This window comes from Homo sapiens, chromosome 3 (genome assembly GCF_000001405.40).
Source record: "Homo sapiens chromosome 3, GRCh38.p14 Primary Assembly".
Lineage (NCBI taxonomy): Eukaryota > Metazoa > Chordata > Mammalia > Primates > Hominidae > Homo > Homo sapiens.
Genome location: NC_000003.12, coordinates 111,591,006 through 111,618,961, shown reverse-complemented (window position 1 = coordinate 111,618,961; position 27,956 = coordinate 111,591,006). Strand labels below are relative to the sequence as shown.

General features: G+C 40.8%; 2 protein-coding genes across 17 annotated transcripts in view, besides 4 other annotated features; one reads left to right on the top strand and one right to left on the bottom strand.

The window, feature by feature from the left end:
- Positions 1–27,956, bottom strand: part of CD96 (CD96 molecule) — a 123,800-nt gene that overhangs the window by 47,035 nt on the left and 48,809 nt on the right. For 14 of the 16 annotated variants that reach the window (XR_007093273.1, XR_924090.2, XR_241462.2 and 11 more), the window contains 3 exons: positions 20,752–20,842; positions 18,048–18,236; positions 12,170–12,262 (listed from right to left, as the gene is read on the bottom strand). Coding sequence is in view for 6 of the 16 variants with exons in the window: in NM_198196.3 (NP_937839.1) it covers positions 12,170–12,262; positions 18,048–18,236; positions 20,752–20,842 (373 nt within the window). In the remaining 10 variants the exon portion in view is untranslated. Of the gene's footprint in view, positions 1–11,881; positions 12,263–18,047; positions 18,237–20,751; positions 20,843–23,387; positions 23,641–27,956 lie in introns of those variants that run through there. The other 2 variants (XM_047447184.1, NM_001318889.2) reach the window with 2 other exon arrangements.
- Positions 1,458–1,958: an enhancer, noted in NCBI's record as "H3K4me1 hESC enhancer chr3:111335851-111336351 (GRCh37/hg19 assembly coordinates)". NCBI's record gives its function as "activates a minimal SCP1, AML or CMV promoter by ChIP-STARR-seq in primed H9 embryonic stem cells {active_cell/tissue: H9 hESC(primed)}" and the evidence as "EXISTENCE:reporter gene assay evidence [ECO:0000049][PMID:30033119]".
- Positions 1,959–2,459: an enhancer, noted in NCBI's record as "H3K4me1 hESC enhancer chr3:111335350-111335850 (GRCh37/hg19 assembly coordinates)". NCBI's record gives its function as "activates a minimal SCP1, AML or CMV promoter by ChIP-STARR-seq in naive H9 embryonic stem cells {active_cell/tissue: H9 hESC(naive)}" and the evidence as "EXISTENCE:reporter gene assay evidence [ECO:0000049][PMID:30033119]".
- Positions 7,925–9,124: an enhancer, noted in NCBI's record as "P300/CBP strongly-dependent group 1 enhancer chr3:111328685-111329884 (GRCh37/hg19 assembly coordinates)". NCBI's record gives its function as "activates an origin of replication core promoter dependent on BRD2, BRD4, P300/CBP, MED14 and CDK7 cofactors, with strong dependence on P300/CBP, by STARR-seq in HCT116 cells {active_cell/tissue: HCT116}" and the evidence as "EXISTENCE:reporter gene assay evidence [ECO:0000049][PMID:35650434]".
- Positions 8,483–8,532: a silencer, noted in NCBI's record as "silent region_14598". NCBI's record gives its function as "represses an Ori minimal core promoter by ATAC-STARR-seq in GM12878 lymphoblastoid cells {active_cell/tissue: GM12878}" and the evidence as "EXISTENCE:reporter gene assay evidence [ECO:0000049][PMID:35858748]".
- ZBED2 (zinc finger BED-type containing 2) lies at positions 23,616–26,062 on the top strand. The gene is made up of 2 exons (NM_024508.5): positions 23,616–23,662; positions 23,896–26,062. The coding sequence occupies exon 2, from the start codon at positions 24,761–24,763 to the stop codon at positions 25,415–25,417; it is 657 nt and encodes a 218-aa protein (NP_078784.2). The 5' UTR covers positions 23,616–23,662; positions 23,896–24,760; the 3' UTR covers positions 25,418–26,062.

The following is a 27,956-nucleotide window of genomic DNA, read 5'->3' as shown; positions in this document are numbered from 1 at the left end:
ACTATATGCCAAATAAAAGAAGCAAGTGAGCAGTTGCAAAGTAGCATAAGTGGAGCATAAAGAATAAGCTGGTAACTTAAAAAAAAAGCGAGGCCGGGCGCAGTGGCTCATGCCTGTAATCCCAGCACTTTGGGAGGTTGAGGCGGGTGGATCATGAGGTCAGGAGATTGAGACCATCCTGGCTAACACGGTGAAACCCCCGTCTCTACTAAAAATACAAAAAATTAGCTGGACATGTAGTCCCAGCTACTCGAGAGGCTGAGGCAGGAGAATGGCGTGAACCTGGGAGGCGGAGCTTGCAGTGAGCTGAGATCGTGCCACTGTACTCCAGCCTGGGCAACAGAGCGAGACTCTGTCTCAAAAAAAAAAAAAAAAAAAAGAGAGAAATAAATTTGGTCATTGTTTCCTCCTTCAAGGAATTAAAAATTACATATAAAGGTCTTGATTTATTTTGAGATGGTTTTTGCTTACTAGACTCTTAATCATGACATTTCTTCTCAAACTGGACAGTATGAGTCGTAGCTTCATTGTTGTTTTTTATGCACTTTCACATTTGATTCTCCTAATAATTGTATGAACTAGATAATGTTACTCTCATTTTTTTAAGACAAGGAAACTACTACAGAGGTGAAATTGTCACGGGATCCTTGAGGTCTTGCTTTGCCAGCCAGAAATTCTGTGGCCAGTGGCACCTTCTGCCTGAGTATTGCTCACACTTCTGGGCTCATTCCACCCACTTGGTTTGGCAGGCTGTGCTTGGTCTGTGCTACCAGCCTGGATCCCACACCTGCCAAGGGTGAGCCAGGTGCAGAGCAGCAAGGGGTGTGTGAACGAGTGAGCGTGGGGTCTGGCCACTGCACACAGCCAGGCACACTGGCTGCTGAGGCAGGGTGGGAATCTCCAGGCTCCAGCATGGGTGCCGACTCTGTGTGATGCTGCTGCTGGACCAGATGTATGGCAAGCAGTTTCTGCTGCAGGCACTGGTGTCTGGACAAGGGGAACACTGTGGCACCAGAAAGCTTGGAGATGCCAGGAACTGTAGAGCTCCAAAGAGGGTTTTACAGCCCTGGCCTGGGAGGCCTTAGGTCTGGGCTCCCTGAAGGGCCACAGCTCTTCTCTCCTTCTCATTGCTTGCAATGTGGTGAGCAGGTGGGAGGTGTGTTTCAGCTGGGTTTGTGTTACAACTCTTTCAGTCCCACCATTCAGTAGGTCCCAAGTTCTTGTCTCGCCCCCAAGAAGAACGAGGTATGCTGACAACTGGAGGGTGAGCAAGGTGGAGAGGAGCTTCACTGAGCCACAGAACAGCTCTCAGGAGACCTGAAGTGGGTAGTTCCTTTCCATATGCAGGCTGTCCCAATGAGTGTCCAGCTCTCAGTGGAGAGGAGACCTGTAGTGGGTAGCTCCTTTCTGCAGGCAAGTTGTCTGGATGAGGAGACCCATAGTGGGTAGCTCCCTCCCACAGCTGGTAGTCTTGACTTCTTTCTGAGTCTGGCTGAATCCCCGGTTTTTCATGGGCTCAGAAGGGAGAAAGTGCATGGTGATTGGTCCATAGATGGCCATAGGCAGGCCAGGAAAAAGCACTATCCAATTGGCCCAGTGGTCATCGATGAAGTTATTACTCATATCCATGGACTTCACTTGGAACTGGCAGCCTGGCTCCCAGGCTTCAGGCCATGCCTGGCCTGAAGGTGGGGTTTCACTGGGGACCTACACCTTTCCATCCAGGAACCTAGTCAGCCTCCCACTGTCATCATGCCTTCCATAGCCCAGGCTGTTTGCACCAAATGGCACCTGCAGGCCTGCACCCAGCTGCCCTCAGCCCATCTCCACCTGCTGCCTCCTTCCTGTGCTCCTTGGCGCCCAAAGTCTGGAGGGGGCCAAGGTGGGGGATTGGTGTGTCAGTGCTGCCCCAAGTGTGCACACACCTGGCCAGGTTGTGACAGTGCCTGGGCTGAGCCTCATCTTTGCTCTGAAATTGGAGCAGGTGCTGGGAGTGGGAAGAGTCCAGGGGGTGGAAGCAGGCCCTTCTGAGCCTGCAGAAGCGGGGGTGTTCCCAGGCCCTCAAGAGAGCAGGGGTGTCAGGGTCTGGAGCCACAGCTGGGTGGCTGCAGCTGCCCTGAAAGCCCAGGGCTCCTGCCTTGCCAAGTCAGTAGGGGGCAGGCTCCCTCCTGTTCTCAGCCTCTACGGGCTCAACAGTCCCAGCCAGGCCTCCCTCACTACAGCTGGCATCCCCACAGCAGCTAGTCCAGTCGGGCAGCTGCTGCCATCAGAATGACTTGCTCTAGGCTACAGAGCCAGTAGGTGGCAGAGACAACAACTGAACCCAAGGCTGTCTGACACTAAAGACTATATTTATTCCATTCTGGTAGCCTTATAAGTGTAGTTAGCCTTGCTGCAGCATGCATCATCATCATCAGGGCCTAGCCACGGAAGAGCTCACTCATGATGTCTAGCACGCAACCACCCAGAATAGCAGGCCTTTGATAGCTTCTCTTCCTGTCCCACCACCACCTTTCAGCTTCCTGTCCCACCACCACCTTTCAGCTTCCTGTCATAAGGCTACCCAGACATCAGCCCTAGCCAGATGGCTTTTCTTTAGGGAGATATCCTCTGCATTCCCTAAAGCCTTCCTTTGTTAATCTCTTCTTTTTTATACTTAAAAAAATTCTCCATTTAAAAAATATTTACTGAATTATCAATACTTATTGGTAACCATGTGTTATCATTGTTCTAGGTGATACAGCTGTATCAGTAGACAAATAAGATAAAAAACACTGCCCTCATCAGATTTACTTTTTTTATGTGTGGAGAGGAGCCAAACAGGTAACTTATAGACGGTGTTAAAATGTGTTATGGAGAAAATACAGCCAAAAAAGGGGAACAGGAAATGGGGTGGGAGGCAGCTGCAATTTAAAATATGATGGTCATGGAGTACCTCATCGAGAAGGTGACATTTGAACAAAAATTTCGAGAAGATGAGGGTGTGATCCATGTAGATATTTGGGGGAAGAATTTTTCAGGCATAGGAAGTGAGGTTAAAAGGCCCTGAGATGAGAGAAATCCTGGTATGTTGAAGAAACAGCTAGGAGGCTAGCTTGGCTGAGCAAAGCAAGAGAAAGGGAGAGGGCAGTCGTGGGGGATATATCAAGTAGGGTATAATGTGGCTTTTCATGCTAACTGTAGATTTCTGCTCATCTTTACTGCCCACTTCCCTCCTCCCCTCACTAGATGTTGGTCCTTGTGAGCCTGGTTTTGTTTACATCAGTATCTATCTCAAGTAGATACATAATTCTAAACCTAGATTATTTGCTTTCATTCTAAACCTAGATTATTTTTATTAAAACACACATGCACGCAGACACACACATACACACACACCCCTTAGACAAAGACAGACTGGTCAATCAGCCACTCTATTTCCTACCTTGGGTTCTTACTGTATTTCCAAATGGATTTAGAGGTTCTAATAATAGAATACAACATGTTGACACTTACTGTGAACCAAGTGCTATAGAAGGTATTTTGTTTGCTTAGTCTCTTCTGTTGCTTTTAATCACCCTTAGAAGAAGGAACCACCCACGTGAAAGCTTTCCCTTTTCTGCATTCTCCTGTCTCCCTTCATGTTCCTCAAGCATCCTCACCTTTGGCCAATGCTTCTAGAACTCAGTGTTTATCTTCCATCCATCACACTATTGCTAAGAACTACAGCTTTCTGTGGATCCTCTCAGTGGGTTAACCATCACCTCATCATGTTTGCTTCATTTTCACTGTATTTCCTTTAACTCTTCAATGGTTAATGCAGAACAAAATTTTTAAATGGAATACTTGTACCTTCATTTCAGATGAGGTTCCAAAGGTTAAGAACCATAATACAGGGCACAAGCCACCTCACGTTGAAAGCAGGGTTCTAGCCCACCTATGCAGGACATGCGAGGCAGTGTGGAGTGGGACCTGTCAGTGGTGGTCCATCATCAACCTCAAAGCTGTGTGACGGGGTGGGAGCAGACTGGCTAAGAGTTCCTTTGAAGGGTCCTGTGCATCAGGCCCTCCCTCATGGAGAAGATGAAGAAGAATCCGCTCCTTCACTTTAGACCAAGCGAAGTGTGGATCTGAGAGAAATACTCATATCTCTTGACCTGTGTGTCCTGGAATTTAGGACAAAGGGGCATGGTGCCTTACTCAGGCTGGAGAGGCTGCATTAGGAGTCCATGGTTGGTTAGTGGCTCTGAATGGGCATGGAGAAGAGAGACAGGGCCACACTGGTGAAGAGGAGCACTTCCCCCATAGAGTAGGCAAAGGTGCACATTTTTCCAGACATAATAGGGTGCCATGAAAAGAATCTCACTCAGGAAGAACACCTAGAGGAACAAAGAAGCCCCCAAGAGGAGCTGACCTTCAGAAGTTTAGAGGCTGCAGAGAGAAGGAAGCAGAAGACCAGAAGAGAGGCATGGCCTGCACCAAGGGACAGCAGCCATAGGACAGTCAGGGATTTCTGAAAAATCTGCCAGAGTGCCCCATGAAGTCAATATGGCAATTTTTATTCTCCTCATCCAGAGGACACCTAAGTCAGATTACATCCAGCCTATTAAGGAAGTTCCTTCCTTACCTACCTCTCCCTCTTCTTCTTACGCCATTCCCCATAAAGAGGGACCCAAGCCAGCAGCTAGGAGCGGAGGAGAGGATGAAGCCAAGTCAGGGAATCAGAGACATTCCCTGTCTCTTCCCTACCCCCACCTCACATATCCCAGCGTTTCCAAGTTGAGTTAGAGCCACACTTGGGGGAAGGAAGAGGAAAGAAGTTCTGGACTAAATTAACTTTTTTGAGTTTTGACATTACATTTGACAAGAGTTTTTAATTATTGACACAGGTCTGTTCTTGTGGCTGAAAAGGACCAGATGACATTTATTATATGGAAATCACCAAAAAAGCCAAATAATCTGTCTGAAATTTCTTTTAGAGGCCAAGAAAAAATTATTCAATATATCTCATTTGAACAGAGAAGAATGGAAAAAGTAAAAATTATTCTTTGCTAACCTACCGGTTTAGCTTATTTAATCAACCAAGTACAAAGGTAAAAGTTATTTGTAAGTTTCAAGCTGCTGGTTAACTTATCTGGTTAGTCAGACTCTGCTATCTAAGGTTTTGCCTTATTCCAATGTAAAACTGAACCTAAAAATTTAACTTATTGTCTCAAATAGAAATATTTCCATTGGGCCTTTCATTCTATCACTATAGCACCTATCGGCATAGCACAGACTTAGACTTAGCCATCTAGTTTCTGGACAAATGTGTAATTGCTCTCCATCAATTCACCTGCAGCACAAAGAGCCTTTAAACACAGTAGTGACATTAACTGGACAATATAGGCCTTCAACTACATCTAAACACATTTGAATCAGCTTCATCATTTGAATCAGCTTCATCATTTGAATCAGCTTCATCAATCTGTGTGGTCAGGATAACGTGGGCACTGACCTTCAGCCCAGCATAAAGGAGACATGAGGTGTGAAACCTAAACCTAAATCTAAACCCTGCATAAAATTTTTCTCATGTGGGAGGCAGATTGTTTGGGGCATGTGCTGACTAAATGGGGAATAATAATGTGTATTGCTGGATTACTGGTCCAGAAAGGGTTTCAGGACTCCCTTGGGGAAGATGACAGTAAGCAGGACAGAGCTCATCACGCATCATGTGGTGAGCTTGTAGATACTCAATAATTATGAAATAAACTGAAAAATAGGTCAACTGATAGCTTTTACCCTGAGGAATCTCACCCCAAGGGGAGTAACTGAATAGATGAATACCCAAAGTAAACTAGTCATCAAGAAGGCTAACCTTGACTTACAGGTGACAGATGTAGAAAAAAGAAAAATCCTTTTAACAGTCTGCAGAATGTTGTGTGCCCCAGGTGGAAGGTGATGAAAAAGATACAATAAACAGAATTTCCCAGGATTCAAGGAAAAGCATTGGAGTTTTGTATGGATTCTGTAGATTCATATCTACAGTGAGAATTATATGATAATAGTGTTGATGGCGGGGGTGGGCTACAGATGCAGGAGGGGTTTCTCTAATTTATTTCCAACTGAGGAAATGTTATCTTCACTCTCAGATGCTGCATGTCTCAGGAAAACACTGGTCTGAAAAAGGGAGAGATTAATATAAGCATAGGTGTCATGTTTGACCTTTTCCTAAGACCTATAACAGCTTCACACTAGAAGGGATTTATTCAGTGTCTAAAGACATTTATTCAGCACCAACCATGTACTCTTTGAGGCAGCAGGACTCAAGGTCTGAAGTCTGTCTGGGCTCAATACTGGCTCATCTACTTTCTGCATGACTTTGGGTGAGTTATTTAACCTCTTTGTGCCTCAGTATCTTCATCTGTAAAGTGGGATAATAATAGTACCTAAGTAATTGTGTTGTTGGGAGGATTCAATGAGAAAATACATTTACTAGTTTAGAACAGTCCATACACATTGGAGGCAACCAACAAATATTAATATTATTGCTTAGTATTATTATACAATCATGGCAGTTGGTAAACATTTTTATGTAATTGCTAGGGAAAAAATGGAAAGGTCCTTGTATGATTGTTCTCTGAAAACCTTTTTAGTCCCTGTATTTAGGCAGACAATCCTGGTGAGCCTCTGTTGCAGCACTCTCCATTTCTACAAATGCCCATTCTAGTTCAGATCATATCATTTTTTTAACCACCTTCGTGATCATGGAAAACAAACTTAAACCACTTTAAATCTATATCATTTAGTCTTTTTTCTCCCTGCTCTTGCAACTATCACCTACCATATACATAACTGCTGTTTTCCTGACATTTTCCCACATACAAAAAAAGCCATAGTGGCTATTTGTTGTTCAGATCACAGCCCCGATTCATAGCCCATTAGTTGACGTTTAAACACAGTAGTGACATTAACTGGACAATACAGGCCTTCAACTACATCTAAACACATTTGAATCGGCCTCATCAATCTGCGTGGTCAGGATAACATGGGCACTGACCTTCAGTCCAGCATAAAGGAGACATGCTGGGCTGTGGGCTATGAATTGGGGCTAAATGAGTTGAAGCTCATCTTTACCTTGTTCCACCCCACCTAATCAACCCTTAGCCCTCTCCCAACAAGCAATGTCAGAACTCCTGCTTGTCTTCTCATGTCCTGCACTCATTTTGTTTTACGCCTTTGCTTATGATGCGAATGTGAAGATCCATTTCTCATCTTTCTTCCACCTGAGTCAGTATTTTCTTCCAGACCCTGCATGAAGACTTCCCTGATCCCCCTTCCTTTCCCCCAGCACTCACTGACTTTTCTTACTTTTCAGCAGCAGATACATGTTGATAAAGGCAGAAACTATTGGACAGCAATTGAGGCACCTGAATACAGGCATGGCATGACTAGCAAAGGGGTCAGAAGTTGCTATCACAAACAAATCACTGGAGCCTTCTCACTGTCTTGCAGACTCTCTCTGGCGTTCCCCTGTTAACACTAGAATCCAATGCCCCTATCAACTGCCGAATTTCTGATTTACTTTCTTCTAATCTCATCTAATGACATGTCTTCTGGGTTGATCCCCCACCATTTCTGACATGCTTACTCATAAATCAGTAGTTTTGTTGCATCCCCTGGTCAGTTGCTTCCTTTACCCTGTGCCCCTCAATGTCTGATCATCCACTTGCCGAAGATCAGTTATGTCTACCTGGGGTGCTGGCTGAGGGTTAGAGGCAGACTGGACCTAGTGTTTTACTCTAAGTATCCAGGAATAGAAAGACCCAGATAGTGAGGACCAGCTAAGTCCTTAGAAAGGGCTTAATATTAAAATCAACATCATCAGGTCTAAGGGTCATGTGCAGACATAACAATAGGAGGCAGAGCCAAAGGGACTGATGGGCAGTAAAACAGGAGGCAAGGCAAGTGGGTCACACAGGATCGTAAGCTCTGTAAGCAACAGGAGCCCTGTCTGTCTTGTTCATCACTGTATCCTGTACCTCAAAAGTCCCTGACACATTGTAGGCGCTCCATACTTATGAGTTTCATGAATAAGTGTCTTGGATGATTGCCACACCGGGTTGGCATCTCTTAGGCTACGTAACTCTTAGCCAAATCATAGCCAGTGAATTGAAAGGCACAGGGCTCTCTCCTCAAGGCGACGGAAACTCCTGAATTGTGTCTGTACAGCCCCACCCTGGATTCATCAGTTGTCTCTGATTGTTCCACATGGACTTGTCTCATCTTGCCACTTAGCTTGTCAGCCTGTCTTCCTTGAACTGCGCTGAGAATGCAGCTGGGACTCAGCAAACACGAATTGGTTCAGGTTGAATTGAGCTGGGCTTCCCTGGATAACTCTTACAGTTTGTTATGAGTTATTAAGTTCTCCTCCCCTCATTAAAGAATATTGCTTTCATGACCTTCAACATTTGTTTAAAAAATATCCTTTCATCGAGGAAAAAATAAGAATTGGATGCTTGCAGCCAGACATGCAGCTTCGTAATGATGACTGGATTATAAAGCTCATTACATCTTAGAATTCGGAATGAAACCACAGCCTTTGAAGTTGGTTTCCGTGACATACTTCATCTCACTTCCTTTCTTCAAAGAACATGCAAAGGTGAATCCTACCAGCTTCTGAGGCAGGAAGTCATCGTGTGATTTCACAATTACCCTCCAGTTTGCCAAGGCAAAATTTGGATTTTTCAATAGTAATTCAGTGATTATTCCAAAAAGATAAGTTTATTTAGACATAATCTGCCACTGGTTTAACATGAGTTTTATTGACATACAAAATCAAACAGAAAATTATTCCAAACATAAACTATTGTTGCCATCTTGACAGAAATCCAGATTTGATTTTGTAAAGTAAGAGATACCTACTGTAATTACACCTAAGCCTTGATCTAAAACAAGTCTTCTTGGCCTTGGCACTATTGACATTTTGAACCAAATAATTCTTTGTTGTGAGGGCTGTTCTGGGCTGTGTTGTACAATGTTTAGCAGCATCCCAGGCCTCTATACACTAGATGCCAGTAGCACCCTCCTACCCTCATTGTGACAACCCAAAATGTCTCCAGGCACTGCCAAAGGTCCTCTGGAGTGGCAAAATTACCCTGGTTGACAACCACTTATCTAACACAATCCTCAGGTCCAATGTGGTGGAACCTTGTTTTACGGAGGTCTTTTGAGTCTGCACAGACTTCCCAACTACATCGTCTTAGTGTGATAGTAGATCAGGTGGCATTTTTCCCCCCTGCTTTTTAAACAAATATGGTACTTGACTGTGCTTTCTTTCCTTCATTAATACTAAAACTATATTAAATTGTAGGCTTCTGAAGTGTAACAACTGCTTTCTTTTGCTTTGAATTTTGTCACAGAAGAATTGTGTTTGTAAGCACTGATATAAGCACTTAGTGTATGTAGACTAACCCCATAAAAATGCAACTAGAAGAAATTCATGTCTGCTTTTAACTAGCAGAATATAAATGCCATGAGGACATTTTTTTTTTCAGTTTTGTTCATTGCTGTATTCACAGCACCTACAAAGGTACCTGATATATAGTAAGTGCTCAATAAATATTTGATGAATAAATAATACCACTTTCTTTCTAAAATAAAGTGGAATGAGGTCCTTCCCCCATTTCATAAAGGATAGCATTTGGAGTCCTTAAACTGGGGCTCAAGGCTTTGTTTACTTTGCATTTTCCAATTTTCATCCCTGTTTTTTTGGTACACAATACCACCTCTTTGATCCAAACTTATCTACTGATGCTTTCTCAAATGCCCATAAACATCTTTGTCACTGCACAAATGCTCACTTTGTTTTCTCTGTTTAGAACGTTCTTTCGAGCTCTCCACTGAGTCAAATATATACAATACATACTTCAAAGGTCAAGTTATTTCATCTCTCCCGGGTAACATTTTCTGAGCCCATGAACTCACAAAGAACTTTCAAAGTCTAATACTTACTGGTTTGTACCTCTCCCTGGGCATTTTAATTCTGTAAGGTACACCACCTTTCATCTTAGTATTTTGAATTATTATTTTTATGTGTGTATACCTTCTCTTCCAAGTAGACTGCAACCTTTCTGAAGGCAGAAATCTATTTTTATCTTTTTTCTTTAGCATTAAATAATCTATTAAATAACATCTACATAGTGAAGGAACATTATTCTTATTAATTATTTCATTCATTCAGTTAGTTATTCAACTAATAGTTTTTGACTCTCTACTCTGTGCTAGGAGGAAAAACAAATACGGTTCCTGTTCTCACGATATGTTTAGACCAACTGGAGAAAAAATGGTGTCTAATGTGGTGAGAACTAAATTTGGTCATAACACTGTGGTGTGAATGCAAAACACTGTCACTTACTAGGTATGTGATCACTTAAGCTCTCAGTGTCTTAAAGTCCCCATCTGGCAAGTGGGAACAATAATGCTTGCTCTGTCTACCACTCATAATAAAGATCAAACCACATTGCCTTTTATTTACAGACACTTCTAAATGACAGGGTATGGTGGCTTTAATTTGTTCACAGATTCTTTGAGACTTGGAGCCTAATTCTCATCCCCTTGAGTATAAGATGGACCTAGTGACTTACTTCTAGTAGATAAAATAAAGCAGAAGTAATGACATGCAATTTTGGAGACTAAGCCATAAAAAGGCAATATGGCTTTTGACTTAGTCACACTGTTTCTTGAATTACTTGGTCCAGAGGAAGCCAACTGCCATATTGTATGCAGAGCTATAGAGAAGACCATGTGCTGAGGAACTGAGACCATCTATATGCTAGAGCTTAGAAGCAGATTCTTTAGTTCCAGTCAGGCCTTCAGATGACTGAAGCCTCAGCCAACGGTGTGACTGCACCTCATGAAAGAACCCAGGTTAGCACCTTCCAGCTAGGCTGCTCCTGAATTTCTGACCCCCAGAAACCATATGCGACAATATATGTTTTGCTAAAATTTGGGGCATTTTTAATGCAGCAATGGATAACTAATACACAGGATACTAGAGAGATTTAAGGTTTTATTATTTTTGAATATGCTAATACTTGTTAAATGAAAAATGCCATGATTAACCGGCAGTGAGTTAAAAGTAGAAGAAAAAGAGGCTTCAAAAAAAGAAGAAAAGAAAAATTACAAAACATTAAGAACATGAGAAAATCAGATGGATATGAAACTTTTGATGGGTGGTTTGCAAGCTTTTCTGCCACTTGCTTCATTTTCTGAGAAGTATCAACCTGTGACAGCGACTGCAGGCTACATGCCAAAGGTTACCAGCCAAAGGAATTGTTCATTCCTACTGACTGCTTTTGTTTTATTCCATTTTCAGTTCTCATTTTGAGCTAAAATTGATAGTTTTAATTAAATGAGAAATGAGAGCCATACTTCTACTTTACATAGAATATAAGCTTTTGTGTATTAGAGAGTCACCATGGTTCTTTGTTAGACACAAAAGCCACAGACGTGGGAATTTATGATTTGTTGCATCAATGACAAGTTTTGAGAGTCACTGCCACTCCTTTGCCATAGCATTGCTGACCCAGACTGACCTCCATTATTAATGATGCCTCAGATGGGAGGGCTGAATTCATAGTCCTTACCAGTCAACTTTGTCAACATTAATTTGAACCAGAACAAATTTAAATTTAAAAGGATTCAACCTCTTTTGGCCTATCCCCATTTACAACCAATCTCTTAAACTCCCCACTGAGAACATTGTTTTGGAGAATGACTGTCATTTATTAACCTATTTAATAATAAATACAGAATTTAAATTCCTCACTGAATATTTATTTACCTTGATTTTCCCAGGGCTTTAAGTAAAGGATTTTGGAAGCTATGTTAACTCTTTGAAGCCATGAGAATGATACTTTAATATGTTTAGGAGTTTCTTTATTAGATGATGAAAATGTTCTGAAATTGGCTGTAGTCATGGTTGTACAAGTCTGTGAACATACTAAAAACCATTAGATCATACATTTTAAATGGGCAAGTTAATGTGACGTGAATTATATCTCAATAAAGCTGTTAAAAAATAAAACCCAATTTCAGCCCCAAAAAAGTCATAGCTAAGAAACAGGCATGAATGATGCAAGTTTGCTGAAATTTTATCGTTATCAATCTGCTTGGTTAAATCAATAGCTCAGTGTGAAAACATTCTTACTTGCAGGAGATACACTGCTGGCTGGAGAAGGTTGGGTGTCAAGGGTAGATTCTGTAACACTCAGTGGAGGGTCTGTTGAGGAAATTTCAGAACCTTAAAGGATTAGAAAGAGATTTATAATGAACAAAATATTGTAATCAAAAGATAAAGTATTGACTTAGTTCTTAAATACACTTTCCTTTATTTATTCATCATGTAACAAATCAATATTGGGGCCCTATTAAGGTCAAGGCAGTGGGATATAATGATGAATGAGGAAGACATGGGATCGTCCTTAAAGGGCCTATGGCCTGGAAACTAGGCAGCCAAGCATTGTGTTGAGTACCATGACAGTGGAAAGCATAGGTGGCCACAGGAACACAACGAAGGGGCACTGATAAAGATTGGGAGGTCTGAGAAGGCTCCCTGGAAAAAGTTACACTTTACCAAGACCTGGTAAAACTATTATAGCATTTAATATTTTCAAGTGTTTGAAAAGTAATCATGCAGTTTACAAAATCCATAAACTCACAAAAATTTTTATATCAGCAAGAGTAGAAACAATGATACAACTACCCAATTGGATGTAACATTAGTAAATGTGTGATGTTTTTCTGCTTTCTAACATGACAACTTTTGTCATAATATTTTTGTTTGGCTACAACTTTTTCTTTTGTGTGTGTGCGTGCGTGTGTCTGTGTTGGGGGGAGTTGAAACAGAGGCTAGAATGTGGTTTTACTTATATTTTACATTTATGTCAATTCCTTAAATCTCCATTACTGTATTTAAAAATAGTCCTATTGGAAGGACAATTTACAAATGCCAGAAGGCTCTATTGACTTTAGGAACATGTGGGTTAAATGTGCTTAGATGATTTTGAAGTTAGAAGATTTTATGATTTTTGTAGATATAATGTTACTGGTTACAGTGTTACACATCTGCTGATATATATCAATTATTTGGATGTTTAATTACTAATTAAACTATTGGTTCTATTCTGTAATGTACTTTAAGGGACAAGTATATTTTACTTACATTATGTCACTTGATAGCACATAGCCCCGTGGGAGGAATTGGTTTTTCTAAGCTAGATGCATGTATGTTCTATTCTTATTGCTAGTAGCACTGCTATTGCCAGTGGCTGTGGGTGGCACTCATAGCTAGCTCTGATCCACTACTATATGAATGCTTTTGTGCAAATAATCTCTGAGGAGGTGGAGGACGGTTATATGGGAAGTATATGAATAGGTTAACAAAATGACCATCCTTTTTCTTCATACATCCAAAATAAGTTTGAACTCTTCAGCATGACACACAAGTCTAATTATGATTTGGGCTGTCATTACACTCCCAATTTCCTGATGTTGCTTATCATTTTTTCCATCTCTCTCAAATAATCCCCTCTATCCAATAAGCAATATTTCAACCCAATTTCTGAAACACAATATTCTCTCTGTGACTTCTGGGACTTCTTGATCTTAATTTATGTGGTTTCCTGACCCCAAACTTTCCTGAATGTACCTTCTCAAGCTGAGGAAGCCTGGGGATCTTTGTGATGTGATCACCCCTCAGTGTTTACCCTAGCAAATGCCTCATCACTGTGTCATCATATATGCCCCTCAAGGGAAGTCACTGTTTTGCTCCACACCATATTTATGGATTCTGGCAAATGGAAGTAGATGAATCAATGCATGCAAATTTATTCTTAACACTGAAAGAAAGAAGACCAGCATTAAGTGTGTGTCTGACAGCTGGTGGATCATAAGCATTATCTTCCAAAGTGGTACCTTAATAAGACAGGACATTGGCTTGGAAAATAAATGCCTAGATGTTTTTCTCTGTATATTGATTAAAATAGAGGTTGGCAAACTATGGCCTACAGTGAAATCATGTTTATAAAAATTTTATTGGAACACAGTTTTTCCCTTTTTTTCTTTTAACCTATTGTCCATGGTTGCTTTTGTGCTAAGGTGACAGAGTTGAGTAATTGTGATAGAGATTAAAAAGTCTACAAAGCCTAAAATATATTTACTATCTAGCTCTTTACAGAAGAAGGTTGCCAGTTCCTGGAACAGAAGATATTGGTGCGTTATGCTCAGTTTCCACAATGGGAAACATTTATTTTTCATTGATTGAACATTTCAGTTTGAGGATACTTTTCTGCCATATTTCATCACCAAGTGATTTTGTAAGCTGAGGTGTTCAGCCTCATAGTGTATTAAGAAGATATTATTGTAAGATGTGCATTTTGAGATGAACACTTTGCCTTGTGACAGAGGGGAAACATAGCTTTCCACATAAAATGTGGGACCTAAACATGTCTGTCTAGTTTTAGATTAGACTGTAAAGTGGAAACTCTGCCTTGGTCAAAACAAAACTCAGGGGTATGAAAAGAGTGGTTAAAACCTAAAAAGGAGAGACAGTTTCCCAAAACCCAAATGCAGAATTTAGCAGAAACACCTCTGCCAGTTTCCAGATCATTGCATTTACCATAATGTCATAAGAGGGTAAGCTGCCGCCTAAAGCCACTTCATCTGTTCCTGGGTGTGTCCATTTGAGTAGGCTTGGCAGGGCTCTCAGAACCACCCTCATGGGCAGCAGCAGCCATGGGTCTGTCCCATAGGGCAACTGGCTTAATTCCGGGGTTTCCTCAGAGCTTGTATAAGCCCTTATCTCATCCACCTAGAAGTAAGCCAAATCCCAGGGCTTGCTAGGTCCTTTCTTCTCAAAATGTTGTCCATAGACAAGCAGAATATGTTTCTTTGAGGGTCTTTTTACAAATGCAGAATCTCAGGTCCCACCTAGATTTACTTAATCAGAATTTTTGTATTTTAGCAAGATCCCTGGGTGATTTATATGCATATTAAAGTTCTCAACTGATACTCTCAGAAAGGATCAGTCAAGGGTATGAGGCCAGCTGCACTGAGGGAAGTCATGAAACAGGAAGTATTTGTCTGGCATCTTCCACACCAATATGCAGTGGTCCTCCTGTTCCACTATTAAGATATCTTTTTATTACTCCTCTTTCTACATGCGAAGATACACATGCATACTTACACACACATACACCTACACAACTGTCAATGCTTAACTCTGTTTCTATCCCAAAGGTCTTGATCTCAACAGCTACAGTCAGAAATCCATTTAATAAACAAATCTCTGTCAAGGGAGATGACAACCAAAATATTATCCACCCCAGGGGGTATTGCACTCAACTTTTGCATTAAAACAAGACAAAATGTCTCCTATCCACTCCCCAAAACAAAACCCACAAAACCCAGCTCTTCAAATCTGCCAGAAATAGACTCAGCAGTGCCATGATTTTAGACATTTTGACATGCTAGCAGGGCGGGATTTTTTTTTTTTTTTGAGACAAAGCCTTGCTCTGTTGCCCAGGCTGGAGTGTAGTGGCATGATCACGGCTCACTGGAGCTTCAGCCTCCTGGGCTCATGCAATCCTCCCACCTCAGCCTCCCGAGGTAACAGGGACTAATGATGTGCGCCACCATGCCCGGCTGATTTTTTGAATTTTTTGGTAGAGACAAAGTGTCACTATATTGTCCAGGCTGATCTTGAACTTCTGCACTTAAGCAATCCTCCTGCTTCAGCCTCCCAAAGTTCTGGGATTGCAGGCATGAGCCACTGTGCCTGGTCCATGATATTTTTGAAAGGCTTTTTTTTCTTAGTGGTAGTTACTGTGGATCATGGGAATTCTGCAGGTCCTAGTGCACAAATAGCTGCCTGAAGAGTCACTGATCACCCTAACCCTAATCCCATGCCCTGTCTGAGTTTTCTAGAATAGGGATCACTGAACACTTGGGAGACTGGGCGTAGGTGGAGAAGGAATCACCTCAAAGGGCTGTTACCTCACAGTCTCCAACATTAATACCCTTTTCTGGAAGCAAAAGGGATCAAAGAGAGCAAAACTTCTCCCCTTGTCTCACTAAAACTCTTTCCTGATGTGTAATATTCTTAGCGTTTCTCTAATCTAGCACTCAGGGATGGCAGATTTTTCTTCTGTGTCTTCATCTCAGTATCTTGTCAACAATAAATAGCTTGGTAAGGCAATGACTCTTGCACCACACATCAGAAGTTTACTCCGGAGTTCATAAAGCATCCGGCAGTACCATCACAGACAGACAGCCTGTGTGGAAGTAAGTGTTTAAGAGCTTGCAACAATAGGGAGACATAATACAGTGATGACACTGCTTTATAGAGCCTTGACTACATCTTCTAAGTCAGTCACATAGATATATGCCAGAATGGGATGAGAATGTAAGCTATAATTTTGAGAAACTGAACTCCTAAAGATTAATTGTCTTTAATATTTGATCATAAAGGATAAAGACTCATTTGGCAATTTAAAATTAACCACCTGTTCAGAGCCCCAAATTATACTAGATCAAGCTCTGCCCTATACAATTGGAATTATGGTATGTTTTCAGTATCAGAATCAGTGTTCTTCCTATTACCTAAAAAGGTATTCATTATTTTCTGATACTGAAATCAAGCACTGTTTTAACATCAGAAAATATTAGTTTTACAGACATGGTTCTACCTATAATGGGAATAGGGTTCTTTTTAGGAATTTGAGCTTTTAGGGTCCTTTAGCTCACATCCTTAGATTCTGCCAAAGCTACTGACAAATCTATGTGAGAATCAGCTACCTCCACATTGTTCCAAGACTGCAGCCCTATTATGTCCAGCTTTCCAGGAAGGAGCTGACTTATTCCTGAGGGAATTAGATGAAGTTGAGTAAGGCTATTTTAGTGTAAATACATCACAATTTCTGAATGATTAACTCAAAGTACACAGGATGATGTGTTCATACATATACATATACACAGACACACAGGCAAGGCTACGGGAGCGATGCCAGTGCCCCGGCATCAGAATCACACCTGCTTCTGAGTAGTAGGGATAGATTTATGCTGGGTACACTTTTCTTCATAACCAACCACTGCACCTGTGAAGGAGCTGGACAGAACCCAAGATGCGGGTTGTGCCCTTGTAACAAAGAAAAACTGTTTCCTTCTTAAATTATTCTGTGTTTTTATGAGTATGTTATAGATTATGATATCTCTGAAAATAGGATGTGGTTTAAGAGGTCAATGCTCCTATAGAGTTGTAATAATGATTTGCAAATCTATTTACGTTTTATAAGATTACTGTTAAATATGAATATCTGACAGTTGCCATTGCTTCTATTTTTCTTCAGGCATATCTGTTGTCACTGTATTTATTGAGGTATTAGTTCATCTTTTATGTAGTAAAATCTCCATTATTCCATCTGGTTCAGGGTAGTAAATACTCTGGTTAGTCAAATGATATAATAACTAGAGTAATCCTATATATCAATTTTCAATCATAAAAATCTTCTATTAGCTAACTATAGTGCTTGAACCTAGGGATACTACAATTATTAAGATACAATCCCTATTTTTATGGTATTTTTATTGTACACATTTTATCCATTCCTAAATATTAAAAGTATATATGTTGTACATAATGGAATGTTTCTAATGATGCAGAAGGAATTTTAGGTCTTTTAAATCTTTCTTGATCATCAGTATTAGTATTAATTTTCAATATGTGATGGATTAACAAAAATGCTAACTAATTAAGAGTTATGATGAATTAAATTGGAACAAAAAATTTTCTGTATGCAGCAGAAATTCTTGTGAAAACATGAATCAACTATTTTCTTTTTAGTTGAAGAATTCTTTTCACTGGAGTCCTACTTGTCAAAAATGTTTGATAACTTGAAATAGTTTTGAGTTACATAAAAAGTTTTCTGAGATTAAAACGTTATGGAAGTGATAATCTTCCCATTAAAGATATTTTGAATTTATGGCAGTCTTAGCAAACTCTTGTTGATCTTATTAAATAGACAACTCACCTAAGAGAAAAGTGATCTTTTCTGATGAGATGTTCCACACTTTATTTCCTGGGACTGGAGACAGAGCCATACACCAAATGGTCAAGTTGTCTGATTGGGCTGGTTTATTACTATGTACCCTTGTTAAAACAGACTTCAGTTCCAAAAATCCATCTTTGCCTTTTCTCTCTTCATTAGTAATATATATTCCTGCCAGACAGATACGAACATGGTTCAACACTAACATTTTATGTATGAGCCATACAATAATGCCAAGGCATGGCATGATCAATTTGTGGTAATGTAGAGTCTAAAGTGGTCAAATGGCAGCTTCTCTGCAGTGAGAGTCAATTTCAGCAGATCTGAAATTAACTTGAGCTGTTTGCTCAAGCTCCTGCATGTCATTGATCCATGGTCAGGGTATAAAATATGTTGACTAATAGTGTTGCTTTGTTTGTGACCATGTGTCCAAAATGTTTTGGGGCAGATTATCCCAGCTCATCAGCATTGTGTGTTGACAACTGTGAGACTGATAATTTATACCTAGTCTAGGTCGGATCTTGGGAGAGCTCTGCTGTGGAATCTGGTTATGTTGCAGGAATATACCTAAGTGACCAGTAAAATATAAAGCAATCTCAGTTGGGACTCCGTTTTGGACTACCCACTTCTGAGCTCTTCTGTGTATATATCAGTAGTCTCTGATCTGAGCGAGGAAGTGTGTCTGGCTGTGGCCCTTAGAGAGGAAGGACGAAGGAGCTCATATCTGACTTCTCTGGACTCCTGGCTGTAAGTGTAGGATAGGATATGCTGCATATTGTAATCTTTTTGCTATGTTGTCTCCTCTTCTTGAAATAAGCTGTAGATTTGTAAGCATTGCATTTTGGGTCCTGTGAGTCTTCTTTAGAAATCAAACTCTGTTTTAAACTGTTATGTTAGTACAACCTCCAAATAGCATACTTGGCAGCAGAAAATTAATGTAAAACCAACTATCACTATATGTCAGAATTTTCTGGATTCTTACAGCTTTTTCACATTACAGATTCTTAACACCAATTCTGATGTAATTACTTACCAAAGTAATAGCTAAATGCAGTTGTGTGCCAGTGCAATTCTGACCACAAAATCTAGCCTCTAGTTTGGTGAAATCTGGGTGCTTTGCCTATGCAGGGCTTATTTAACAGGAGAATAAATTTATAATAACTTTTTTTTTTTTTGAGATAGGGTTTCACTCTTGTTGCCCAGGCTGGAGTGCAATGGCGCAATCTTGGTTCACTGCAACCTTTGCTTCCCAGGTTCAAGCGATTCTCCTGCCTCAGCCTCCCAAGTAGCTGGTATTACACATGCCCACCATCACACCCAGCTATTTTTTTGTATTTTTAGTAGAGACGGGGTTTTACCATGTTAGTTAGGCTGGTCTCGAACTCCTAACCTCAGGTAATCCACACCCTTCGGCCTCCCAAAGTGCTGAGATTACAAGTGTGTGCCACTGCGCCTGGCCTATAATAACTTTTAACCTATATTTTTAGAATTGCATTCTGTCATTGTTGTGGGTGAATTTTTTTTAAAAATAAACTAATAAAACCAATAATAATCTCAAAATGCATCAAGTGATCAATACACTCATTAACATAAGCTTTCAATTTTATCATTTAAAAATAATTCAGAAAGGGCTGGGCGCGGTGGCTCAAGCCTGTAATCCCAGTACTTTGGGAGGCTGAGGCGGGCGGATCACGAGGTCAGGAGATCGAGACCATCCTGGCTAACACGGTGAAACCCCGACTCATCTAAAAATACAAAAAATTAGCCGGGCGTAGTGGCGGGCGCCTGTAGTCCCAGCTACTCGGGAGGCTGAGGCAGGAGAATGGCGTGAACCCGGGAGGCGGAGCTTGCAATGAGCCGAGATCGCCCCACTGCACTCCAGCTTGGGCAACAGAGCCAGACTCCGTCTCAAAATAAAATAAAATAAAATAAAATAAAAATAATTCAGAAAGAGTTGTGTGACTCAGTTATTATTGAAGACAGATTGAACTTGGAGGAAAAACGACTCAGGAGAAAGGAGAATAGCTGTTGTTCAGGCAGGGACAGCTGAGATTATTCTGGTAGAGGCTGTCATGGTTACTATCTATAAAATCATGGCTTTGTGAATTTTCACCTGAGCTTGTCTTGATGTGTGTTCCTCCTCCAGGAACTTTTAATCCTCCTGGGGAACATGTACCTTGTCAAGGAGCCAACTCTTTTACATAGGCTTTCTCTAGTGCTCCACCAACACCTGCCTCAGATTCTCACATAAAAAGGTAGAAATTATTTATTGGCTGATTTAAAGCAGCGGTGCTAAGTTAATTGAACATATTGTATTGAAATAAGAAAGACATGGAAAAACAGGTAGCTATGTTATAAAGGCAGAAAAAGTTTTAATAAATATATGTAGACTTAAACTTTTTGTCCTCATTTAAGATATTCCTTTTACTGCTAGTTAAATAAAATATTTGGATGTTGTTTGTCTAAATCAATTGTATTTCTTTTATTCTGGAAAATGTTACACTCCACCCCCTTGGAAGAAACAGATGAAGCATCAGAAAATGACATTTGGTAGGCAGAATGATGTTTTTCTTGGAATGAGAATCATTCTTAAATGCCAAGATCAACTTGGGCAATGACAATTTCTAATGTTCTTTGTTTTCTTTCTTTTTGTACCGAACTTATTTCCATTGATTAGTTTCCTTACCTTCTTTTTCATCATGAAGAAAACTTCCATCTATAAACCATGTGATATTTGCTTTGGGAAATACATTCTTTAGTAAGCAGGTAAATCTTCTCTGGGGTAAAGACAGAAAAAGGATTATTTGCAAATTCCTAAGAAACTGGTACTCCTTACAACTTACTAACATTCATATAAGTTGGCAAAAAAGAGTTTCTCCATTTTTAACTGAATAAATAGAAGGCAATGTCTACTTTTAATATAGGTTGTGTTAGAACGTGCACTATAAATGGGCTATCTCCTATAGAGATGTTATAAACTTCTGGCTATACTCCTAGGTCAACTTAAGGATCTAGGACTATACTAATGTTCCAAGTCTGGATTCTGGGTTCTGTAAAGGAGAAATCTTAACTCTGTGTAGGCAGAATAAAATAATACTAAATGGAAACCAAAGAATAGAAGGAAGAAGCTATAGCAAACAGAGGCCAGAGAAGAATAGTCTGTTAGATTAAAAGCTCAAGGGGATCTACAAGCTGTTTCTGTGCTCCAAATAATGTACGACACTATTTGTAACAATCACAGAAAACGATTTATATAAATATCCTACTTTTTACTTGTGAAGCATTTTCCTAATTTTTAAAAACAATTCATTGGCTTAATCTTAAGGATAGGTAGAGCATGCCTTATTTTTGCCATTTGACCAATGGAAAAATCAAGGCACCCAGTGGTTCGAGGAAGTGGAAAATAGTTAATGGCACAATTAGAAACCATGTCTCCTTAATCTCAGTCCAACATATTTTTTAATAAAAATTGTATTGAAATAAAAAAATGAAAGAAGTAACTATATTATGAAAGCAGAGAACTTAGATGCAGGGCTAGTTATGTTTTATTTTCAATGCTATGTTTGTTCTTTGGGGGATGATACTTTCTTTTACAGTCTGGTGAAAATATCCAGTGAGAATTATTGGATTCCCATTGTTTTATCTGAGACTCTTCAAAATTATAATTCCTTTTATAATTACTTGTTTTCTCATCAAGAGATGTATATATTTTACATATGACCAGCCCTAGTTCTTAGTTCTCAGATATTTTCCACAATTAATGAATATACTAGTTAACATGTAAAGAACAATTAAATGTATGTGATGATTTGTGTGCCAATCCTCAGACTAGTTACTCCCAAGAAGTCTGGGCCTATAGAGCTGAGAAACCAAATTCGAGAATGCTAACTAACATTTTCCTGGTGAAATCCTACAGAAGTTTACTATTTCTCAGTACATTGCTACAGAAATCCCAATGAAACAAGAGAATTTCAGAGGGGGTTGTCTAGCATATCCAAGATGCTGGGTGGCAAACACCGTAGCTCCCAGTATTCCCATCCGTTCAACACTTGCCTTTCCAGATAATGGGGATACATATATGGGCCAGGGATGCTAGTCTCTCCACTAAAAAATTAAAAGCAAAACCAGATCCTCTAAAATACATTCTTATTAAGTAAAGGAGAGTGTTCAGTTTAATTCAATAGATGCCAAAGATTGATTTTTATCTCCAGTTGGTCCAGGAAGAGACAAAAAGGTAAAGGAGGTAAAATGTTTTTTTAAAAAAAGAAAAAGATACAAAGTTTTGCATTAATCCAGTGACATTAACCATTCTTATGATTCATTTCCTTTCTCTTTAGTTAACCCACCAAAGATGACGATATGGTAATATCAGGAGTAAGTGGGGGTGTTATTATTTTACGAAGGCAACTGGCTCACTGAAGAACTCTGGTTAACGTCTAAAAATTTTGAAAAGATTTGACTTTCATGAATTCTCTAGGTTCAGATTTTCTGAAATGATCCAAATTTCAAACATTCTAGACTCTCTCTAGACTTTGCGTTCCAAGATTTGGTTTAGAAATGTGGTTCATGTTCTAAAACTCCTCCCAGTCTCATTCCTATTTTGAATCTTTTTCCCCCATCTTTTTTTTCTATTTTAATTTAACTGTCAACCTCTACATATTTTCTGCTATGCCATTTCTTTTTCTTTTCTTTCTTTTTTTATTTTTATTTATTCATTTTATTTATTTATTTTTTTGAGACAGAGTCTCCCTCTGTCGCCCAGGCTGGAGTGCAGTGGCATGATCTTGGCTTACTGCAACCTCCACCTCCCGGGTTCAAGCAATTCTCTTGCTTCAGCCTCCCAAGTAGCTGGGATTACAGGCGTGCACCACCACACCTGGCTAATTTTTGCATTTTTAGTAGAGACAGGGTTTCACAATGTTGGCCAAGCTGGCCACGATCTCCTGACCTCAAGTGATCCACCTGCCTCGGCCTCCCAAAGTGCTGGGACTACAGGCAAGATCCATGGCTCCTGGCCTGCAATGCCATTTCTATCTTTCCTTTTATAACACAAAGTTTTTTCTTCTTCTATTGATACCTTCTTTAGAGTCTTCCTATCTCCTCTTGGTAGGTTTTCCTTCTCAATCTAAATATGTATACACACACATATATATATTATGCATATTATATATAATGTATGTATATATATAATATATATGTGTGTATACATTTAATATTTCAGCCTTTCCCACTCTTCCTCCTTCAAATCGCTTGCTTTACTTGAGAGGTTAGGTAATCTAGTCATCAAAAAAGAGAACTAAGACTTGTAGGTGCTTGACTTACTGTTTTGCTGCATGACATATGCCAGGAACATCCTTTTCTTGGTGGTGGAGGGGGTGGAGAAAAGGTTTGCATCTGTGTCTAAGTGTTGCAGAAAAACCCAACAGGCACAGACACACCTACCTGGAAACAATGCTTCCCTAGAAGTGGGAGGAAACCAGAACTGGAGGTGCCCTCCTTCTGGGGGTAGGAGTCAGCTAATAGACATCCAAGGTGTGCAGGAGTGCTTTCACTCTGCGCAGGAAAGATCAGAGAGAAGTCCAGAGCCTTGCCTGCTTGTAAGTACCCACTTGTGGCTGGGGGGAATTTCCTAACTGTTCACGGTTGCAGAGCTTGATTAAATAAAGCTCTCATTAGTTTAAGAAATGACCCAAGAAAGGAGAGAGAAGTCGGGCTGTTTTTAAATGTAATATGATTTTCCATTTACTTATTTATCTTTAAAATGAGGTAAAGAGCAAAACATCTGGAGTAAGTTGCCTCAGGAAGGTCTTATTGGCTGTTGGCTTTGCAGGTGATCCTGGTGGAGAAGGTGGAGTATGGTGAGCTGCTTGCTAAGGACAGCCAGGCAACGCTGTGTTTGTGAAGATGTGCTCCACCTTCTCCTCTGTGCATCCCAGCTCCTCCTGCTGAAACAGCTGAGCTTGCTTTTTGGATTTCTTAGACTCCTGGCCTCTGAGAGACACCTCTAAGGACAAACTGACCTTGCATTGGGAACTTTATTATCCAGATCCTCATAGGCTTTGTCTACTCTGGATTGCTTGTTGCAACAGTTCTTAGGAAGCAAGATTGTCTCCTGCACCAGCATCTGCCTGTGTTTGCTTTTACCTACTTTGAGCAAGACCCAGTGAGGCCCTAGCTCTGTTGGTCCTGAAAAGCCTGAACCCTGAGGCTGTTTCTCCTGCCTCCAAAATGCAATTATAGGAAATAAGAAGCACAGAAACAGTGGAAACAACCAGGAGGAGAAACAAGAAAACCTAAAATTTTCAATATTCAAAAATACCTGTCGTGGTGGTTGATGCAGAAAACACTGAGTTCATCAAAGAGCTTTGTAATTGTTGGACCAGAGAACCCCTTTGCTACAGGAACTGATATGTTTTGTCTTTCTGGCCTAGTCAAGGGAGGATAAGTAAGTATCTGGGGCATGGAAGGAATGCACTCTTGGGCTGTTTTGCTTGTATCTGACTCACCCCTGACTCTCCAGTGAAGCAGAAAGGAAGAAACCTCACACCACCCAGGTGTGGCCAGACTTTGGCCATTATTGTGAATCCCCAAGAGTTACCACAGGCCCTTCCCAAATATATATTTAATCTTGTGGTTCAAATAAGCTTTTGGCTCACATCTAAGCACATCATAAAGAACGCTGTAGAAGAGGTGACATGATGAGGCGGGAAGACGAGGAAGAGGAGGGAACAATGATGAAGGCAAAAGGGGACTTAGAGATGAAGGAGGAGGAAGAGATTAGTGAGACAGGAGAACTGGTTGGCCCTTTTGTGAGTGCTATGCCCACTCCAATGCCCCACAACAAGGGCACCCGGTTCTCTGAGGCATGGGAATATTTCCACCTAGCTCCTGCTCGTGCTGGGCACCATCCCAACCAGTATGCCACCTGCCGCCTGTGTGGCAGGCAGGTGAGCCGTGGCCCTGGGGTCAACGTGGGCACCACTGCACTGTGGAAGCATCTGAAAAGCATGCACAGAGAGGAGCTGGAGAAGAGTGGCCATGGTCAGGCTGGGCAGCGCCAGGATCCAAGGCCCCACGGGCCCCAGCTCCCCACAGGCATTGAGGGTAACTGGGGTAGGCTCCTGGAGCAGGTGGGCACCATGGCTTTGTGGGCCAGCCAAAGGGAAAAGGAGGTGCTTAGGAGGGAAAGGGCAGTGGAATGGCGGGAGAGGGCTGTGGAAAAAAGGGAGCGAGCCCTGGAGGAGGTGGAAAGGGCCATCCTGGAGATGAAGTGGAAGGTGAGGGCTGAGAAGGAGGCATGCCAGCGGGAGAAAGAGCTGCCTGCAGCAGTACATCCCTTCCATTTTGTTTAAATTGGGCTTGGAGAATCTATTCTGAAAACATTGACTCTAGACTTGTAGAAAAGAGCCATTTTAGTTTCAACTCAAATGTAAAGCAAAGTAGTTTGGTGACATTTTGCTTTTATGTGAAATAGTGCACAGTATGAGTTAATCTGAGCAGGTCTGAATTGACCAAATGCTTATCTACGAGGTTCCTAGAGCTCTGCTGACCCTTGGCCGAAACTCTAAAATGTACCTATTAAAGATAAATGCTTCTACCAAAGTAAAACTCTGTGAGTTGTTTCAGGGCAGAATGTACCAGCCAGTCAGCGTTGTTTAACAAAATAATCAGATTTTTGCCTAGCACTCGGTTTTGGTGGAGCTGACGATTTTGAGGGCTGAGGCTGGTTAGGTAGCTGGAATGTGCCTATGTGACCAGCTCACTTGCAGACACCCTGCCGGAAGCAGAGCTTAATCTTCCTAGGACTGAGGTCTTAGCACATGTACTGGTGGAGTTTCCAGACCACCAGTATGAATAAAAGCTTGTTCTGTGTGACCCAGCAAGTGGAAGGACAAAGAACTGTGAGCCTCAGATCTTTGGACCTTTCCAATGCGTCTCTTTCTCCTGTTATTGCTGCAATGTATTTTCTTGCTTATATTAAAGTTGTTTCATCAGTATAATCTGAGTCCGGTGTGTCTTTTTAACAACCTAATGCTTAAACTAATTAATGTGTAATTAGCACAGAGAAATGAAAAACCTCTCAACTTACTTAGTTTAAACATTCAGTATAGATTATATAAAACTTATTCATAAATAGTTAAAATATAATCTGATTTCATATTAAGGTTTGTCAAAGGAAAAGGAGTTAGTGAGGAAGAACTGAAAGAAATTCAGAATGAAAAGAAGGCAGAGATATAAAGGAAGTAAGGAGAAATAAAGAACAGAGGAAGGAAAGTTAGAAATAAATGGGATAGAGAAGAAATGCAAAGATGGGGAAGAGAGACAGTGCTCTAGGGAAAATTTATCATGAAAATGGAAGAGAACATGACTGTCTGAATGAGGGAAGGATGGAGTACATTTTCTTAGATCCTGAAGTTAATTTTAATGAGTTAACTTGATTTTGCTTTGTGCCTACAGACCAGTTATTTATTTGAACAGTAGGTTTTAGATTTTACTCATACCTCTGAAATGCTAACTGCATGCCAATCCACTGTTCACTGATTTTTAAAAACTGTTTACCTTTAAATGTTCAGAGATGCTTTGAAAAAAGAGATCCTAACAGTCTATAGGGAGAGAGTAATTTCCTGGGCTGCTGAAAGTATGCCTAAAATATTAATTTAGAAATAGAATAAAATCAAACTGGAAAGTACTCTGGCCTCTGCACTGGACCTGATATTTGTTATAGAAGACAGATTCCTCTATAACCACACCACCCTCCTCCAACCAAACACACACATTAAAAAACAAAACATAATGTGGGTTGGGAATGGGGATGGAGTGGGGAAAGAGCTTGGGAAGACAGGAATAGATAAAGACAGCATCCCATTATCTCAGAGATAGCCCAAGTACTTTGTGGGCACCAACCTCTCTGGAAGCAGAGGATGTCCTTGTGTAACAGTGGTGTCTTGCCTCCTTTGGCCCTGACCTATGTAGTTCACTCATATTCTTCCTAGACTTGCTAGGCAGCCCTCACTTCTAGACCTGTCTTCCCTAACAGCTGTTTGTAGAACAAACAAAAGTCCAGGCACCAGGCTTGTGAAATAACCAGGCCACACTGAAGTCCCGTCATGTTCTTTTTTTATCTAGAGATCTGCCTGATATTAAAGATTTCATTTGTCATGTGGTCTCCCCACAGAGGTATGATGCCCTTTTAGAACCTTCTCTACCTGTGGTGCAAGCTCAGGTGCTCACCAGTGCAAGTGACGACGGCTGGACATTTGGACTCAGAACCTTATTATGTTGCAAAAGATGCTAGGAAAAAAAAGGAGGCTGTAATACCTAATTATTTAAAAAATGAAAACCAAAACACATATTTTTGGAGTGGGGCTTAGGAAGCTTGAGGAAACCACAGGGTTCAAGCTTTGCAAAACCCAAACCAAATAAACACAAATAATCAAATTCTGCACAAAGATGCTGGAGCTCTGCTGATGCCAACCAGTGTGGTATTTAGGTTCTGGTGTCTTTTTTTTTTTTTTTTTTTTTTTTAAGATGGAGTCTCACTCTCTTGCCAGGCAGGAGTGCAGTGGCGCGATCTTGGCTCACTGCAACCTCCGCCTCCTGGGTTCAAGCAATTCTTCTGCCTAAGCCTCCTGAGTAGCTGGGACTACAGGTGCGTGCCACCACGCCCAGCTAATTTTTGTATTTTTAGCACAGACAAGGTTTCACCACGTTGGCCAGGATGGTCTGGATCTCTTGACCTCATGATCCGCGCACCTCGGCCTCCCAAAGTGTTGGGATTACAGGCGTGAGCCACTGCTTCTGGCCTCTGGTATCTGTTTTACATGGTTATTAATATTGTAGCCTCTCTTCCTTTGTAGGCAACTTAACCCCAAACTGCTTTTGTTTCCTATG